This window comes from Homo sapiens, chromosome 10 (assembly GCF_000001405.40).
Source record: "Homo sapiens chromosome 10, GRCh38.p14 Primary Assembly".
Taxonomy (NCBI): Eukaryota; Metazoa; Chordata; class Mammalia; order Primates; family Hominidae; genus Homo; species Homo sapiens.
In genome coordinates this window covers 68,928,491-68,948,425 of record NC_000010.11, presented here as the reverse complement: position 1 = coordinate 68,948,425, position 19,935 = coordinate 68,928,491, and the positions used below count along the sequence as shown (strand labels likewise).

The window sequence follows — 19,935 nt, the reverse complement described above, 5'->3', positions numbered from 1 at the left end:
ACGTGCCTGTAGTCCCAGCTACTCGGGAGGCTGGGGCAGAAGAATCACTTGAACCCAGGAAGCGGAGGTTGCAGTGAGCCAAGATCGCGCCACTGCACTCCAGCCTGTGTGACACAGCGAGACTCCGTCTAAAAAAAGAAAAAAAAACCTCTGAAACCTATCCATGTTTCTCAGTGTCCACTGCCACTATTTAGTGCAGTGGTTAAGAGTGCTGGTTCAGAAGCTAGACATTTTTCTGGGTTCAAATCCTCATTTACCTCACATCATCCAGCTGCATGATTCTGGACAAGTAACAACCTCTCAAGTGCCTCAGTTCTCATCCCTCAAAATATGTTACTTAGCATTAGTTCAGATCACCAGCATCTCTACCATAGATTACTCCTATGGCATCTTAAGAGGTCTCCAGGCCTCCAGTCTGGCTTTTCTCCAATCCAGTCTCTTCAGTGTGGCCAGCATTCTTTCTAAAATGTAAATCAAATCATGTTACTCCTTACTTTAAGCCCTTAAATGATTACCCACTGTCTTCAAGAAAAGCTTTAAACTCCTTAACAATGTACATAAGGCCTTTAAAATCTGTCCCTGTTAAATACTGAACCAGTCTCTTATTCCTGTTCTCTATCATATGGAAACCTCAGACTTACCATGCTATTCTTTGCCTCTGGTGTCCGCATATGTTGTTCTCTCTGCCTGCAAGCCCTCTCCCTTCTAAACTCCTCTTCCCACCTGTACATACATGTGGCTAAATGGATACTTCTTTATTTCTCTGTTGGGTATCACTTTTAAAAGGCCTTCCTGACTGCTAAAACTGGTCAGGTGTACCCCAAGTAGGTCCTTAGCATACCATACCTACCACTGTCTTAGCTTTTATTTGTTAGTCTGTAATAATTGACTCTAAGTTCCTTAAGGATAGTGATTATGCCTTATTCACAACTATACTCCCCAGTGGTTAGCATAGTGATGGAAACATAGTAGAAATTCAATAAATATCTGTGGAATAAATTAATGAGTATGCACTGTTGGCACACTCTTTTAATTAACTGTGTCTAGACTAAAATGATACACCTAACTAACCATGTCAACAGTTTACACAGCCCTTTAATGTAGAAGGGAATTTCTTATTTTTATCACATAACCTATGGGAGGAATTATATGAATACAAATACATCACATTTTGTAAAATGCAAGTAATCTTATGTTATGATTAGCTTGACTACCAAGTTTTGTTTGTTTGTTTTGAGACAGAGTCTCACTCTATTGCCCAGGCTGGAGTGCAGTGACATGATCTCGGCTCACTGCAACCTCTACCTCCTGGGTTCAAGTGATTCTCCTGCCTCGGCCTCCCGAGTAGCTGGGATTACAGGCATGTACCACCATGTCCAGCTAATTTTTGTATTTTTAATAGAGTTGGGGTTTCACCATGTTGGTCAGGCTGGTTTCAAACTCCTGACCTCAAGTGATCCGCCCAACACAGCCTCCCAAAGTGCTGGGATTACAGCCATGAGCCACCGCACCTGGCCTGATTGCCAAGTTTTTAAAGAAATTTTTGAGATTACATTGAGAAAATTCTTAACACATAAGTGAAAAGAGACAATAAAAGGAGGTTTTTTTATTCAAAGGTATAACTGGATAAGTAGATTTGTTCCATTCTTGTGAAATACTTTTTAAAAAAATACGACCAACTTCTTTGCAAATAGCAGACACATACCTCAACTATGATGACCTAATTTTTGGTGGATAATGTACATGATTAGGCAGAAATAGGCAAGCTCACACTGGTAGATTAACTATCAAATACTCAGTCAAAACTCCGTTTGTGGCCCCCACTTCTTGATCGATTTCTATTCCCACTTCGTCTTCTACCATCTTGTCGACTTCCTGAGCGACTTCCTTGTCGACTCTGTCTACCTGACCGGCCGCCAGATCGACCACCTGACCGGCCTGACCGGCCTGATCGACCACTTGACCAGCCACTCCTCTGTCTGGAATTAGAAGATGTGTTTCCATCATAATATTCTTCAATTTCAGGTAATTTGGCTGGCACTGAGAGTATCCAGTCGGAATCATGCCACTCTGCCTGTTAGGGGAATTTACAGGATTAATATAAATGCAAAATAGAAACCATAAGCAAACATGTTAAGTACAAGAAGACACCTTTTTCATATCTATTAGCTAAAGGCCATCTATTCTGTTAACGTATCTGGAACAAAAATGAAAACCAGAAAATAAGCAAAAATATTTTCAATTTTCGAGATCATAAATTCATACTCAGTTTATACATTCTAAAATTAAACTATGTATTACTAATTACATGTACTAATTAAATACATTCTATAAATATACATTCTAAATATACATTCTAAATAAATTCTAACATTCTAAATATACATTCTATTCTAATACTAACATTCTAAATATATTCTATTCTAATAAATATACATTCTAAAACTATACTATGTATTACTAATTAAATAAATATACTAATTAAATAAATGTACAAAAATATACATTATACTCAGTTTCTACATTCTAAAACAGCACTATTTGGTATCTCAGCACAAAGCAGACAGGCCATTAATAAGTAGTGCGTTGTTTTCAGCAGGTATACTGACAAGCAAAAAGTAAAAGAGCCCATGATGGAGATTAAATACAAGTCAACACCAGCCAAGGACTAAAAAATGTAGCCACTGGAAACACTTTGATATTGGAGTAAACAAGTGAAGATATACAAATCAGTAACCCATAAGAGCATCACTATTTTATATCTTGCTACACTAACTGTTCCTTATTGTGATCATGAGTTGGCAAGGAAAGTTGTTATTGGCCGGGCACAGTAGCTCATGTCTGTAATCCCAGCACTTTGGGAGGCCGAGGCGGGCAGATCACTTGAGGTCAGAAGTTCGAGACCAGCCTGGCCAACGTGGTAAAACTCCAACTCTACTAGAAATACAAAAATTAGCCGGGCATGGTGGTGGGCGCCTGTAATCCCAGTTACTCGGGAAGCTGACGCAGGAGAATTGCTTGAACCTGGGAGGCAGAGGTTGCAGTGAGCCGAGATCGTGCCACTACACTCCAGCCTGGGCGACAGAGTGACTCTTGTCTCAAAGAAAAAAAAAAAATGTTGTTATTAAGACACCCTGTTGCTAAGGCTATCTTTCTTTCCAATACTGGTACTTTTTGGGAAAAGACAAACGAACATTCCACTGGTGGGTTTGGCAATATATAACCAAAGTAAAAAAAAAGGCACAAACCTTTTGGCCAAGCAATCACATTTAAAAACTCATCTTAAAGAGATAAACATGGCAATGCATAAAGAATTCGCTATACCAATGTTTAGGGCAGTCCTAATAATAGTAAATTATTAGAAATAATCTAAATTTCAGAAAATAGGACACTGGTTAAGAAAACCAGCCACCCAAATGGCCAAATGCCTGGGAGTCATTAAAAATAAGTAACTGTGGCTGGGTGCAATGGCTCACACCTGTGAACCCAATACTTTGGGAGGATCACTTGGGACCAAGAGTTTGAGACCAGCCTGGGCAACATAGCAAGACCCCATCTCTATTTAAAAATATAAAAAGAAAGGCCAGGCACAGTGGCTCAAGACTATAATCCCAGCACTTTGGGAGGCCGAGGCGGGCGGATCATGAGGTCAAGAGATCAAGACCATCCTGGCCAACATGGTGAAACCCCGTCTCTACTAAAAATACAAAAATTAGCTGGGCGTGGTGGCATTTGCCTGTAGTCCCAGCTACTCGGGAGGCTGAGGGAGGAGAATCGCTTGAACCCGGGAGGCGGAGGTTGCAGTGAGCTGAGATCACACCACTGCACTGCAGCCTGGCAGCAGAGCGAGATTCTGTCTCAAAATAAACAAACAAAAAATTAAAATATAAAAAGAAAAGAAAAAAAGAACTGTGTTATTGACACAAAAATGTGTCTTTAACATATTCTGAATTTTTAAAAAGACTTCGAAAGCAAAATACTCATTTTTGTTTCAAAGTAGGTATATAAGTATGTACTGAGATACAATAGACAAATTCTTCATTATGGGAATCCAGTAGACAACTTCCTTCTTCAACAGATAAAGATACTTTACACAGTAAAGTATACACAGGAATACTTTTTTAAAAGAGAGAGAGGGAGGAGGAAGAACCTATAGATTAAAAGAGACTTAAGAAACATCAAATTACAATCTATGAGCTTTATGGACCCTGTATTTAAAAAGTTTAGGAAACAAATGGAAAAATTTAAATAAAATTGGATGATATTAAGGAATTATTTTGGGGGAGTTTAATTATGGTATTATGATAAGGTCTTTTTTAAAGTCATTAATATTTAGAAATATGCAAATATTTATGGTTGAAATGATAGAATACCTAGAATTTATTTCAAAAGAATGCAGAAAAGTGGGTAAGTAGATGGACACAGAAATGAAACAAAACTGGCTATGAACTGATAATTGTTGAAGCTGAGTGTTGGGTACATGGAGATTCATTATACAAGTCCCTCATCTAAAAAATATGTTTGAAATGATTTATAATAACAAATTTTTTACTGGGTATGGTGGCTCACACCAATATTCCCAACACTTTGGAAGGTCAAAGTGGGAGGATCACTTGAGGCCAGGAGTTCAAGACCAACCTGTGCTACAGACTCTGTTTCTACAAAAATTTTTTAAAAAAATTAGCCAGGCAGGGGGCCAGGAGCGGTGGCTCACGCCTGTAATCCCAGCACTTTGGGAGGCCAAGGTGGGTGGATCACCTGAGGTCGGGAGTTTCAGCCCAGCCTGACCAACATGGAGAAACCCCATCTTTACTAAAAATACAAAAAGAAAAAAAAAATTATCCGGGCATGGTGGCTCATGTTAGCCAGACATAGTGGCACACGCCTTGTAGTTCTAGCTACTTGGGAGTCTGAGGTGGGAGGATCACTTGAGCCCAGGAATTCAAGGTTGCAAATGAGCTATGATTGTGCCACTGCACTCCAGCCTGAGAGAGACTCCATCTCTTTAAAAATAAATTTAAGTTTGAGACAGACTGGTTATTTTATATTAAGGAATTCCTCATTGATTTAGGCATGATAATGACATTGTGACTATGTTTCCCAAAATATCCCAATCTAAATGTTAGAGAATGTACTCAACCATTTAAAAGATAAAATTTTAAAAATACCTGTAACCTTTCTGACTCAGTTGTAGGAACATCAAAGCAAACACCCTAAAAGCAAAACAAAGCAAAACATTTTAAATTAGATGCATATGTGTAGATTTTTTTTGTTTTACTAATAATGCATGACTCAGTGGCTGCTTAATGTATTTTCTAAATTTAAAAAGTAACTAAACACAGTATCCAATAAGAATTTACAACTACTGCTAAGAATCTACAGTATTCTCTAGAAGAGTTTGTGTAGACCCTATATGTTGTTCCATGTCCCTTGTAAAATGATCCTTCTAATAAATTTCTTTTAAAATTTAATGATAGAAAGTCTCATTTACAAAGAGCTACAATGGGCCAGGCGTGGTAGTTCATGCCTGTAATCCCAGCACTTTGGGAGGCCAAGGTGGACAGATTGTTTGAGTCCAGGAATTCGATCAAGACCAGCCTGGGCAACATAGGGAAAACTCCATCTCTACAAAAAAAATGCAAAAATTATCCAGGTGTGGTGATGCATGACTGTAGTCCCAGCTACTCAGGAGGCTGAGGTGGGAGGATCGCTTGGGCCTGGGAGGCGGAGGTGGCAGTGAGCTAAGATCACGCCACTGCACTCCAGCCTGGGTGACAGGGTGAGACCCTGTCTCAAAAAAAAAAGAAAAAAGCTGCAATGTTTGTTAGATAATAAGAATTATATAACCCAAGATGTTTCTTCTATGGTCTTAGTTGTCAATAAGCTGAAAGTTAATTTAATACTCAAGTATAGCAACTAGTTTGGCCTATGGATCTTGCTATTTTTTCCCTCCCCTCTACATTTTTTTCCTGAAAGTATATATTTGTCTCATACTTGCCCCACATCCTTTTACAAGGCAAGTAATATTAAACTTTGAGAGAGATGATTATTTGCAATAAACAATCTAGTTAATAAATTCCAAGCTAGAATGAACCTATGCAGTAAAGTTAAATTAATAACATAACATCATTTTTCAAAACCATTAGAAGAAATCAGTCACAAGATTACAGTTTTAATTTTGCTATATAAATGTATTAAAGTATTTATTTAATTCATATCATTAATTCATTAACAACAAAGAGCAGGCCATTTAAAAACCAAACTGCATGTCCTCAAAATTATAGAGCTGTTTAACTACTGCAATCATAAGCTACTTAGTCTTACAAAATAAACACACATGCCAGGTGCAGTGGCTCAAGCCTGTAATCCCAGCACTTTGGGAGGCTGAGGCAGGTGAATCCCTTGAGCTCAGGAGTTCAAGACCAGCCTGGGCAACATGGCAAAATCCCATCTTTACCAAATAATAATCACAATAATAATAACATGGACAGGGTATGGTGGCTCACGCCTGTAATCCCAGCACTTTGGGAGGCAGAAGCGGGAGGATCACCTGAGGTCAGGAGTGCGAGACCAGCCTGGCCAACATGCTGAAACCCCATCTCTACTAAAAATACAAAAATTAGCTGGGCATAGTGGCGGGCACCTGTAATCTCAGCTACTCAGGAGGCTGAGGCAGGAGAACTGCTTGAACCCAGGAGGCATAGGTTGCAGTGAGCCGAGATTGTGCCATTGCACTCTAGCCTGGGCGACAAGAGTGAAACTCTGTCTCAAAAATAAAAATAATAATAATAATAATACAAAAAGGCCAGGTGCAGTGGCTCACACCTATAATCCCAGTACTTTGGGAGTCCAAGGTAGGAGGATCACTTGAGCCCCAGAGTTCAAGACCAGCCTGGGCAAATAGTGAGACCTCATCACTATAAAGTCGTAAATAAATAAAATTTAAAAAATAAAAAGAGAATAAACACATGTACACAACCACATACAGTATGTGGCAGAAACTTAGATAATTTGGGTATTAGATAGTCAAACTGAACAGAATGACTTACAGCTCTGGAGGAATGGGTTACATATATAATGCCCCAAATTTATAACTGGAAACAAACTAACAGAGAAAAAACAGCATTATTCATGCCATTAGGCTTCAAAGAGAAAGAACAAAATTTGCTAGTGTTTGTAAACATTTGGGGTAGTTGATTAAAAAGCTTTTTAATTGTCTGGAAAAGCCTACCATATTTCCTTTCAGGAGGCACATTCTGGTAATCTGAGACACTGCATTACTACTCAGCTTTCTGTTAAGTTCTTTCCAAGCACAGCTGACATCCTGTATTTCCTCTAGGCTTTCCAGAGTCATGGTCACAAACCCCTTAAGGAATAAAAACCACATTATGTTTGGAAATAAATCAGCAGCAGTACAATGAAATTCTAACTCTATAATCCTTCAAGACTTAACTGTGCATTTCTTATGAGCCAAAAGTATAACATTGCAGCTAAAAAATTTTTTTGAAACTACATTATTAGAAGAATAGTGTTTATAGATAATTGAAAGTACTATCCTATGTATTGCTGTAAGACTCTATTTAATTCTAACCATTATGCTTTAAGAGAGAATTAAGAATTAAGCAAACCAGAGCCAAGAAAGACAACAAGGTAGTGAAGAATTAAGGAAATGTTGAAGGAGTCAAAGTCAGCTTGGAACGAAAACCTTGGCTGGGTGTGGTGGCTCACACCTGTAATCTCAGCACTTTAGGAAACCGAGGCGGGAGGGTCACTTGAGCCCAGGAGTTTGAGACCAGCCTGGGCAACATGGTGAAATAACCATTGCTACAAAAATAATAATAATAATAATTAGCCAGGCATGGTGGCCTACTCCTACAGTCCCAGCTACTTGGGAGGCTTGAGCCCAGGAGCCCAGGAGGCAGAGGTTGCAGTGAGCCGAGATTGCACCACTGCACTCCAGCCTGGGTGACAGAACTAGACCCTGTCTCAAAAAAAAAATAAAAAGTAAATACAACATAAATTTCTTTAACCTTTTTTTTTTTTTTTTAAGACAGGGTCTCGCTCTGTCACCCAGGTTGGAATGCAGTGGCACGATCTCAGCTCACTGCACCCTCAACCTTCTGGGCTCAAGCAGTCTTCTCACCTCAGCCCCACAAGCATCTGGAACTACAGGTGCGTGCCACCATGCCGTGCTAATTTTTGTATTTTTAGTAGAGACGGGGTTGCCCAGGTTGGTCTTGAACCCCTGGACTCAAGTGATCTGCCTGCTTCAGCCTCCCAAAGTGCTAGGATTACAGGCATAAGCCACCATGCCTGAACAATTTCTTTAAACTTTTGAAGGAGTGTTACATAAGCAAAAATTATTTGTTCTGTAAAGCTTCACTAACAGCAAAAGAATCAACATTAAGAAGATATGGGGATGCATTCAGCAAACAAATATTTATTGAGTGCGCCCTACGTATGTGCCACAGACTGTACTAGGTGCTAGAGATTCAGCAGTAAGTAGTCCTTTCTCTCATGGACAGTAAATTCTAGTGCATGTGCATGTACCTACACCTGTATGTGGGGTTGGGTGGGGGGGTACACAGTAAACAAAAAAGCAAATATATGGAATATCATATAGTAATAAGCGTCACGAACAGGAATAAAGCAGGGCTTAGGGAACAAAGAGTATAGGGAGGAGTAAGCTATTTTAGAGTGATCAAGAAAGACCTCTCTGGTATGATATTTGAGCAGAGACCAGAATGAAGTAAAGGAGGAAGCAACATGGTTATTAGAGGGGAAGAACATTCAAGACAATGAAAGTATGTACAAAGGCCTTGTGTAATAGTTAAGTTTATGTCTGAGGAAAACCAAATAGGTTAGGGTGGCTGAAATAAGAAAGGGGAGAGTGATAAGACATGACGTCAAGAAGATAGCAAGAGGAAAAGCCTATAGGACATTCCTGATAAAGACTGGATTTTGGTTTAACCCATGAAAGAAATTTAAAGCCACTAACACCCTGTTTCTAAGATATTTAATCAGAGATTAAATGACCCATCTGCCAAAGAGGGATTCTTCATTGGATGAGAGTTGAGACTAAATAACTTCTTAGGTACTTCTTAGCTCAAATCTCAATATTTTCTAAAGAAATATGTTTTAAATACTGTCTTAAGCATTTGGTGGGTTACTAGGGATAGGATATCTGCTCAATGCTAAAGTATCACCCCACAAGTTACTAATTACAGAGAGTAAAATACACCTTTACAATATGGCAGTTTCCATCTTAAACAAATGCAAATTAAGCATTACTAGTACTGGAACAACCTAACATTTTATGCCTCTTGATGTGATGCAATATGAGGTACATATTAACTATAAAGTACCCTTGCCAAAAACATTTCACCTAAATATAAAAGTCAAGCTTTGATATTACTTTCAGTTTAAAAGAGGATAAAGGCAAAAGTTAAATGATGCTTGAAGAGATTCGGACAAATCCAGACAGTGAGATATTCTACCAAACAACCGACCAAGACTCTTCACCAAATCAATATCAGAAAAAAATTAAAAAGATGAGAAAACAGTTCCAGACTAAAAGAGACTAAAGAGACATAATACCAAATGTAACATGTAAAACTTAACTAGGTCCTGAATTTTTAAAAACATACATACAAATAGGTATATGTACACATATGGATAAACGGAATGGAGCCCAATAAGTCACTCAAAGCAAAATGACATTTAGCTAAACTATTAACACCTACCAGGTAGAAACCATCAGATACCCCAGCAGCATTCATTTGTGCTACACCAAATAAGTCACATCCAAGTGAACCTGCCCTGCCCTTTTTGTTTCCTCCTCCCCATCACAGGGATGTGCTGCCCAAATTAGTCTGTTTTGTTATTATTTGAAAATCCCACCAGCAGGCTCTAGTCTTATAGATGTCTCCAGGACCAGGTTCGCTCACTCACTCTCTCCACTCAGACATAACAGAACTCTTATTTAAAATTCTCTTCACCAAGAAACTCCCCTCACTTATACTTGAATAAGTAAAAAATCTCTGAGCTACCTGCACCAATGGTTCTGGTGTGGTATGTTTTGACATGTGATACGAATCTGGCAGCAGGCCAGTTCAGATGGTGTTACACTTACACAACCCCTCCACACACACACAGGCATTTCTTACTTACTTTGCATGCTACTGTGTTAATTGTGCAGAGTCTATTTCTTACTTTGCAGGATTCCATGGAAACTTACAAAATGAAATGTAGGTTCTGGGATACAAGTTTCAGTTAACAAAGGTCTGTGCAAAGTGAGCATTTCCTATATTTCTCTCCAAATACCCAGACAGACAGACATTTTCAGGATAATGAGAAAAAAATGGATATAAACTAAATATTAGATGATGATACAGAACTATCATTAATTTTCACAGATGAGCTTATTATATTGTGGTTATGTAGCAGAATATCCTTATTCTCAGAGGATGCATGTTGAAATATTTAGGGATGATATCACGGTGTTTCGACTTACTTTCAAATGATTTAGAAAAAAAATACAGGCCGGGTGAGGTGGCTCACGCCTGTAATCCCAGCACTTTGGGAGGCTGAGGAGGGCAGATCACCTGAGGTCAGGAGTTTGAGACCAGCCTGACCAATATGGTGAAACCCTGTCTCTACTAAAAATACAAAAATTAGCCAGGCATGGTGGCGTGCGCCTGTAGTCCCAGCTACTCAGGAGGGTGAGACAGGAGAATTGCTTGAACCCGGGAGGGAGAGGTTGCAGTGAACCAAGATCACGTAATTGCACTCCAGCCTGGGTAACAGAACAAGACTCAATCTCAAAAAAAAAAAAAAAAAAACTTATAAAGTTATAAAGCAAGAAGGAAGATATTGAATGGTTCCTAAAACAAAGAAATGATAAATGTTTAGACGATGGATACGCTAATGATCCTGATCTGATACCTATACATGGTATGTACGGATGTACTGAAACATCACCACATACCCTATAAATATGTACAATTATTACATGTCATTTTTTTTTTAATTACAAATTAGAGCTAAAAAAGGATATAAAGCACATGATACAGACTTTTAACAGTTGAATCTAGGTGGATCGTATGTGGTTACTGCATTATTCTTTCAGTTTTTCTGTGGGTTTGAAAAATTTGGAAGAGGTGATTGTCAAAAAAGGATTTATTAGGGAGTAGAGGAAAATAAGGAGACCAGTTTCTCATAGAGCAAAACAGTTTTTTTCTGCACAAAAAGCACAATAATTCACTACAATATTTCCTATGTTCAATTTTAACCTTTTCCCACTCATGTACAATTTTCTCACAGATTTCTACCTTATCAGAGGTGATCAAAGATCGTGGTTCAAAGCTTGATGCACCAGAAATGTGGGCTAAAGCTGCAGCCAATGCATCCACTGCACCTTTCTCTTCTATCAGTCTCTGAGCTGATGGTCGGAAAAAATCAACAGCAGCGTAAGAAACGGAAGCCAGAGACCTATGGTTTAAAAATAGTATTCTTGGTCAAGACATAGGGAAAAAATAAAAGATAAGAAGAAAAATGGGAAAAAGAAGGAGTAATTTTTTTTTTTTGAGATAGAGCCTTGCTCTGTCACCCAGTCTGGAGCGCACTGGCACGATCTTGGCTCACTGCAGCCTCAACCTCCCGGGCTCAAGCAATCCTCCCACCTCAGCCTTCCAAGTAGCTGGGACTACAGGTGCACGCGCCACCACTCCTGGCTAATCTTTGTATTTTTTGTAGAGACAAGGTTTCGCCATGTTGGCCAAGCTAGTCTCAAACTCCTAAGCTCAAGCAATCTGCCCACCTCAGCCTCCCGAAGTGCTGGAATTACAGGCGTGCACCACAGTGCCCAGCCACATTTTATATATATATATATATATATATATATATATATATTTTTTTTTTTTTTTTTTTTTTTTTTTTGAGACAGAGTCTTGCTCTGTCGCCCAGGCTGGAATGCAGTGGTGCACTCTCGATTCCCTGCAAGCTCCGCCCCCCAGGTTCACACCATTCTCCTGCTCCAGCCTCCCAAGTAGCTGGGACTACAGGCGCCCACCACCACGCCTGGCTAATTTTTTGTATTTTTTTAGTAGAGATAGGGTTTCACCGTGTTAGCCAGGATGGTCTCAATCTCCTGACCTCATGAGCTGCCCGCCTCAGCCTCCCAAAGTGCTGGAATTACAGGCATGAGCCACTGTTTTATATTTTAATATAACTAAATGTCTGCTGGTAAAACTGGTGGTAAAATTTTCTGCTATTTGAACTGGGAGAGCTTACAGATGAATAGCCTAATACAAAAGAAACAATTATTCAGCAAGTTCAGAAAGCATACCTGATGGCATCCATGCTTTTAGATTTAACTAAATCCATTGTAGAAGGAACACCTACACGTTTAAAAGTAATTCCCTGAAAATGAAAGAGTTACATTAAAGAAAAATGGAAGTCTTTACAATTAATTCCTAAATTAATATTTTAATAGTTCGTTGAATTTCTATTTCTTGCATTTAAAGATTTCATAGCCCTAGCAGATTAAAAGATCAGTTTTATCTTTTTTGTTTTTGTTTTTGTTTTTGTTTTGACACAGAGTCTTGCTCTGTTGCCCAGGCTGGAGTGCAGTGGCGTGATCTTGGCTCACTGCAACCTCCACCTCCTGGGCTCAAGCAATTCTCCTGCCTCAGCCTCCATAGTAGCTGGGATTACAGGTGTCTACCACCATGCCCAGCTAATTTTGGTATTTTTAGTAGAGATGGGGTTTCACCATGTTGGGCAGGCTGGTCTCAAACTCCTGACCTCAAGTGATCTGCCCATCTCCGCCTCCCAAAGTGCTGGGATTACAGGCGTGAGTGACTGCACCCAGCCAAGATCTTTTTTTTCTCATAAATCATCAATTACAAATTTCAGAAAGAGAAAAATAATTTTTTGAATTGCCCCTTAGTTACAATCATGGAATTTCACTTGTAAAACAAGCCTGATTTGAAAAAAAAACAAAACAAAACAGATGTTTAAATCTATCAGCTTTTTTCCTTATTACACTATCTCATTTTACAAAGTATATGAAATTGCATATAAAAACACATATAAAAATAGGAAAAAATGTGAAATACCACAAAAAATCCAGACCACAGAAAATGTACAGTTTCTTTAGAAACTGTCTATTGTACCATACTTAAAAGAATCTTAACTATTATACCAAGACAATCTTTTAGTCACCCATTTACACTAAGAAGTACTGAAATCACAATGCACTTCTGATTTTAGTATGAAGAGAGAAATTCAAGGAAAAGATGAGAAAGTCAGCTCCACTGTCTTCACAATAAAAGCTGTATTAAAGTCTTGAAGCTAATATAAATTTAGATCTCCACAGGCTTCACAGCCAAATGCAGCTTAAACTGAGAAAAGTTATGAAGACCTACTTGTAAGAATAAATATAAGAAGAGCTCTCTTTTAAGGCACCATTTAGACAATAAGCCTGAAATAATTTAACTCTACTTACTGCTTTTTGTTCCACATATCTTAGTTGACCTCTTTCTCTTGGTTGATAAAAACATATACAAATCCCTGTCCGTCCAGCTCTACCTGTGCGTCCAGAGCGATGGATATAGGACTCAACATCCTAAAGATTATAAAAGGTAATATTTTTTAAAAATCTAGCAAGTTGCAGTCATTCCGGAATCCAAATAATAATGTTAATAATAATATATTTATTTCAATCCTGTTGCCCTTTTCAACATTCCAAACAATTTATATGTGTGGATTTTGGGGTAAAGGCAATATGATTTAAAACCTTTTAATCCACCTCATCCCAGGTTTCTTTATGGCAACTTTTTGTAATTCTCTGCCTGATTTTGTTGCTCCATGCTTCAAATACAAACAATAGAGTTAATCATCTGCAAAAGTATCAGAATCTGATAAATTTAATAGCACACTAACAAAAAATGGCTAAGAGCAAGAAGAGATGACATATTTTTCACATCCCAAGCAATATGTTGTAAATTAAATGGGAATTTATAAAATTGCTCTTATTTTTCCCAAATCAAATCCCATTTCCTACCTGAGGAGGAGAACTTTGAATCACCAGGTCAACTTCAGGAATGTCCAAACCACGGGCAGCCACATTGGTTGCCACCAAAACTTTAAAACTACCTTCTCTGAAGCCTTTTAGTGTAATTTCTCTTTGTGACTGTGCAATGTCCCCATGTAAACACTGGGCATTCTATTTGAGAAAGGGGGAGAAAATTAAGTGTACAGCTCATACTTGCAACTGATAGCACAACAACATCTAGTCTGTGCTCCTTTTGCATGTTTTTAAATCTTACTTTGATGATTTTAACAATGCATGCTTACTGTAAAAAAAAAAAGTCAAACATGACAGAAAATATTTAACATAAAATGTAAAAGCTTCCCTAATACTAGTGACTTAGAAATAATTCACTGCTAAGAGTTTGGTAAATATTCTGTCAGATTTTTTTTTTTTTTTAGACAGAGTTTTGCTCTTATTGCCCAGGCTGGAGTGCAATGGAGCGATCTTGGCTCACTGCAACCTCTACCTCCCAGGTTCAAGCGATTCTCCTACCTCAGCCTCCCGAGTAGCTGGGATTACAGGTGCCTGCCACTATGCCCAGCTAATTTTTGTATTTTTAGTAGAAACAGGGTTTCACCATGTTGATCAGGCTGGTCTTGAACTCGCTGACCTCAGGTGATCCGCCAGCCTCTGCCTCCCAAAGTGCTGGGATTACAGGCGTGAGCCACCACACCCGGCCACTTTTTTTTTTTAATACACACATACTCACATTACACTAGCATATACTATGACTTTATGTATTTATTTATAACGTGGATATTACATAGGTAGGGTTTTGTAACCTACTTGATAAATTTAGTGTATCTTAGCTATCCACATCTATAGATAAAATGCTACTTAATTTTTTTAAACTGTATATAATTTATTCATATGGATGCACCAGCATCTATTTTAGCAATATCCTACTGATGAACTTTTGGGCTGTATTCACATTTTCACCTTTAGAAACAATGCTGCAATGGGCCGGGCATGGTGGCTCACACCTGTAATCCCAGCACTCTGGGAGGCCGAGACAGGCAGATCACCCGAGGTCAGGAGTTTGAGACCAGCCTGGCCAACATGGTGAAACTCTGTCTCTACTAAAAATACAAAAAATTAGCTAGGCGCAGTGACAGGCACCTGTAATTCCAGCTACTTGGGAGGCTGAGACAGGAGAATAGCTTGAACCCGGGAGGTGGAGGTTGCAGTGAGCTGAGATCGTGCCATTGCACTCCAGCCTGGGGGACAAGAGTGAAGCTTCATCTCAAAAAAAAAAAAAACAAACAAACAAACAATGTTGCAATGAACAACTTTGTAACTTTGTACTTGTATCTCTGGATGCCTCAGTATCTGTATATTTCAGTAGGATACATATCTAGAAGTTGAATTTCTGGGTCAAAAATTATGAACATGTAGCATTTTAACAGAAACTGTATTATTTAAAAAACTGTATTATAAAAAAAGTTGTGTACCTTTTATTCTTCAATACTCTATGAGTATTTATTTCAACATACCCTACCCAGCTTGTGTATATTATAAATCATTGTAATCTTTGTGAATTTAATAGGCAAAAATAATTTCCCAATGTTGTTTTAATTTACATGTCTGTAATTTTTAGTGACACTGAACCTATTTATATTAGGTAGATCTTCATCTCTGCTGCATTAGTGACACTGAACCTATTTATATTAGGTAGATCTTCATCTCTGCTGCAAATTTCCTGGTATTATAAATACACTTCCTAGTATTCCTGGCCACTATATTAAAGTCAAAAAGTTCATAACAATGATCAGGCCAGGCTCAGTGGCTCATGCCTGTAATCCCAGCACTTTGGGAGGCTGACGTGGGTGGATCACTTGAAGTCAGGAGTTCAAGACCAGCCTGGCCAACATGGTGAAACCTCATCTCTACTAAAAATACAAAGATTAGCCAGGTATGGTGGTGCATGCCTGTAATCCCAGCTACTCGAGAGGTTAAGGCAGGAGAATCATTTGAACCCAGGAGGTAAAAGTTGCAGTGAGCCGTAATCGCTCCACTGCACTCTAGCCTGGGTGGCAGAGTGAGACTCTGTCTCAAAAAACAGAAGTTCATAACAGTAATTTAACCCCAACAGTATTTCAGCCTTGGTATCTAAATAGCTTAACATATACATGAATGAATTCAGTGAGCACTTGCTATCTGCCTGGATTATACCTGGTTCCAGAACATTCATAAAGAAATGGCTCTGGGACAACCAGCTGACAGGCATCTTCAATACAGTATGATGTGTGCTATCACAGGTATAGGTTCAGAGTGTTACAGGAATACTTAAGAGGGAAATCTAACTCAGTCTTGTTTGAGGGGAAAGCAGCACTGAAGCTGAGACCTAACATCATAAGGAACTACTAGGTAAAAGAAGGAGCAGAAGGCTAGGGAGTTCCTGGTAGAAGAAATATCATACATAAAGAATGGGGAGTGGAACCTACAAATATTTGAGCACTGCTGGAACAGACTGAAAAGGGAGCGGGGATGAGGGGTTAGGGAGTGAGAGATGAGATTGGAATAGAATATGAACTTTATCCTGAGGACAATATGAAACAACTGAATGATTATAAGCAGAAAAATATCATGAACATATTAAATTATACGACCAGGCACAGTGGCTCATGCCTGTAATCCTAGCACTTTGGGAGGCCGAGGTAGGTGGATCACCTGAGGTCAGGAGTTCGAGACCAACATGGTGAGACCCCGTCTCTACTAAAAAAGTAGCCGGGTGTGGTGGCGGGCGCCTGTAATCCTAGCTACTTGGGAGGCTGAGGCAGGAGAATCACTGGAAACCGGGAGGCAGAGGTTGCAGTGACCCGAGACTGTGCCACTGCACTCCAGCCTGGGCAACAGAGCAAAATTCCATCTCAAAAAAAAAATTGTGTGTGTGTGTGTTTGTGTATATATATATATATACATATATATATATATATATTTTTTTTTTTAATGATCCGTCACCCACCCACCAGCCTGGGTGACAGAGCAAGACCCTGTTTCTGAAAAAGGAAATAAAGAGGTTATCGGTGGCCTAAGATGGTGGCAATGACCACCTATTTACTCCACAAATATAATAATGACCTACAACATGTTGGGCACTAGGGATAAAAAGGTGAACAAAAATAAGACTGCTTCTGTCCTCATAGTCTTTATATCCTGGTCAGAAAGATGGACATTAATCAAATAATTAGGACCACAAATAAATTTAGACAATGAATGTAATGGATGATGCACGGGTCTAAGAGGCAATGAGGCTTTATAAGAGGACAATCTGACCTAGCTTGGGGCAAGAAAGGATTCCCTAAAAAGTGATGCTTTGGACTGAGATCTGAAGGATGAGTAGGAGTTGCTAGGCAAGGTAGACTACAAATTCAAGAGCTGACCAGCATGGTGGCTCATGCCTGTAATCCCAGCACTTTGGGAGGCCAAAGCGGGAGATGGCTGGAGCCCAGTAGTTCAATACCAGCCTGGGCTATGTAAGGATATTCCATCTCTATAAAAAATAAAAAGTTAGCCAGCTGTAGGGGCACATACGTGTCGTCCCAGCTACTTGGGAGGCTGAGGTGGGAGGATCACTTTGGCCCACGCAGTTGAGGCTCCAATAAGCCATTGTGCCACTGTACTCCAGGCTGGGGGACAGAGTGAGACCCTGTCTCCCCACCCCCAAAAAAAACAAAACCATGGCATGTATGGAGTGTGTGCACAAAATGAAAAAATGAGAGGGAAGTGTAAGATGAGGCTGGAAAGGTAAGTAGAGGCTAGAGGCTACACCATAACTGAATTCAAGAACTATTAGTTGATGAAATTGGAAGGACATACTCAAGGGAGTAGAAATGATGTATAAAGGAAAGAGATACATTATACATGATTCTCAGATGTTTAGCTTCTGCAACTGGTGTAAGAAATAAATGAAGGCTGAGCACGGTGGCTCACGCCTATAATCCCAGCACTTTGGAAGGGCAAGGCGGGTGGATTACCTGAGGTCAGGAGTTTGAGACCAGACTGGCCAATGTGGTGAAACCCCGTCTCTACTAAAAATACAAAAATTAGCCAGGCATGATGGCAGGCACCTGTAATCCCAGCTACTCAGGAGGCTGAGGTAGGAGAATCGCTTGAACCCGGGAGGCAGAAGTTGCAGTGAGCTGGGATCACATCATCGTACTCCAGCTTGGGCGACAAGAGCGAAACTCCATCAAAAAAAAAAAAAAAAAAAAAAGGAAAGGAAAGAAAGGAAGGAAGGAAGGAAGGGAAAGGAAAGGAAGGAAAAGAAAGGAAGGAAGGAAGGAAGAAAGGGACCAGGCTGGGCACAGTGGCTCACACCTGTAATCCCAGTACTTTGGGAAGCCAAAGTGGGCGGATCACTTGAGGTCAGGAGTTCCAGACCAGCCTGGCCAACATGGCAAAACCCCGTCTCCACTAAAAATACAAAAATTAGCCGGGTATGGTGTTGCACACCTGTAATCCCAGCTACTAGGGAGGCTGAGGCAGGAGAATCACTTGAACCCGGGGGCAGAGGACGGAGGTTTCAGTGAGTCGACATCGCACCACTGCACTCCAGTCTGGGCGACACAGTGAGACTCCATCTCAAAAAAAAAAAAAAAAAAAGAGGCCAGGCGCAGTGGCTCATGCCTGTAATCCCAGCACTTTGGGAGAGCAAGGTGGGCGGATCATGAGGTCAAGGGATTGAGACTATCCTGGCCAAAATGGTGAAACCTCGTCTCTACTAAAAATACAAAAATTAGCTGGGTGTGGTGGTGCACGCCTGTAGTCCCAGCTTCTCAGGAGGCTGAGGCAGCAGAATCACTTGAACCCAGGAGGTGGAGGTTGCAGTGAGCCAAGATCACAACATTGCACTCCAGCCTGGGCAACAAGAGTGAAACTCCATCTGGAAAGAAAAGAAAGAAAAGAAGGAAAGAAAGGAAGGAAGAAAGGAAAGAAAGGAAAGGAAGGAAAGAAAGGAAAGGAAGGAAAGAAGGAAAGAAGGAAGGAAGGAAGGAAAGAAAGAAAGAGAAAGAAAGAGAGAGAGAGAGAGAGAGAGGAAGGAAGGAAGGAAGGAAGGAAGGAAGGAAGGAAGGAAGGGACCAGGCTGGGCATAGTGGCTCATACCTGTAATCCCAGTACTGTGGGAGACGGAGGTGGGTGGACCGCTTGAGGTCAGGAGTTCCAGACCAGCCTGGCCAACATGGCAAAACCCCCTCTCCACTAAAAATACAAAAATTAGCGAGGCGTGGTGGCACACGCCTGTAATACAAGCTTCGGGAGGCTGACGCAGGAGAATCGCTTGAACCCAGGAGGTGGTGGTTGCAGTGAGCCGAGATCGCGCCACTGCACTCCAGCCTGGTGAAAGAGCAAGACTCCGTCTCAAAAAAAAAGAAAAGAAAAAAGAAATAAATGGGACACTTTAAACCATAGGAGATATAATCCAAAAATACTATGTAGTTGGCTGGATGGCCAAGGGTAAGGAATAAATTCAAGAATAATACATAAATTTCTGGTTTAAGCAATGGGTAGATGTATGATTTAGCCCTAGGGAATGCTGGAGACAGAGTGGGTATAGGAGTGTAGAAAGTTAATTAATTTAGGTTTAGGAACATAAAGGTTGGTGTGTCTGTGGCTAGTAGGTCTAGTATTCTTGAGGCAGATCCCAGTGAGAAAAAGATTTGGGTATCATTACCATATACTCAATGACTGGAGCCACAGGAGTGATTAGACCTATCTATACATATCTATACTTCTATATTCCTATACTAATTGACTCCTTGCTTCAAGAAAAGAAATGCACTACGCAAAATGCTTTAAATAAACAATTTTTTAAAAAATAATATAGAGATGAAGTCTCA

At 39.8% G+C, this 19,935-nt stretch overlaps 1 protein-coding gene across 5 annotated transcripts in view; it reads right to left on the bottom strand.

The window, feature by feature from the left end:
• DDX50 (DExD-box helicase 50) overlaps positions 1,579–19,935 on the bottom strand; it is a 45,533-nt gene continuing 27,176 nt past the window's right edge. For all 5 annotated transcript variants that reach the window (XM_011540144.3, NM_024045.2, XM_047425726.1 and 2 more), the window contains 7 exons: positions 14,066–14,227; positions 13,508–13,627; positions 12,347–12,420; positions 11,331–11,490; positions 7,232–7,366; positions 5,169–5,213; positions 1,579–2,074 (listed from right to left, as the gene is read on the bottom strand). In XM_011540144.3, the coding sequence (XP_011538446.1) occupies positions 1,796–2,074; positions 5,169–5,213; positions 7,232–7,366; positions 11,331–11,490; positions 12,347–12,420; positions 13,508–13,627; positions 14,066–14,227 (975 nt within the window). In that variant the 3' untranslated portion in view covers positions 1,579–1,795. The remainder of the gene's footprint in view (positions 2,075–5,168; positions 5,214–7,231; positions 7,367–11,330; positions 11,491–12,346; positions 12,421–13,507; positions 13,628–14,065; positions 14,228–19,935) is intronic.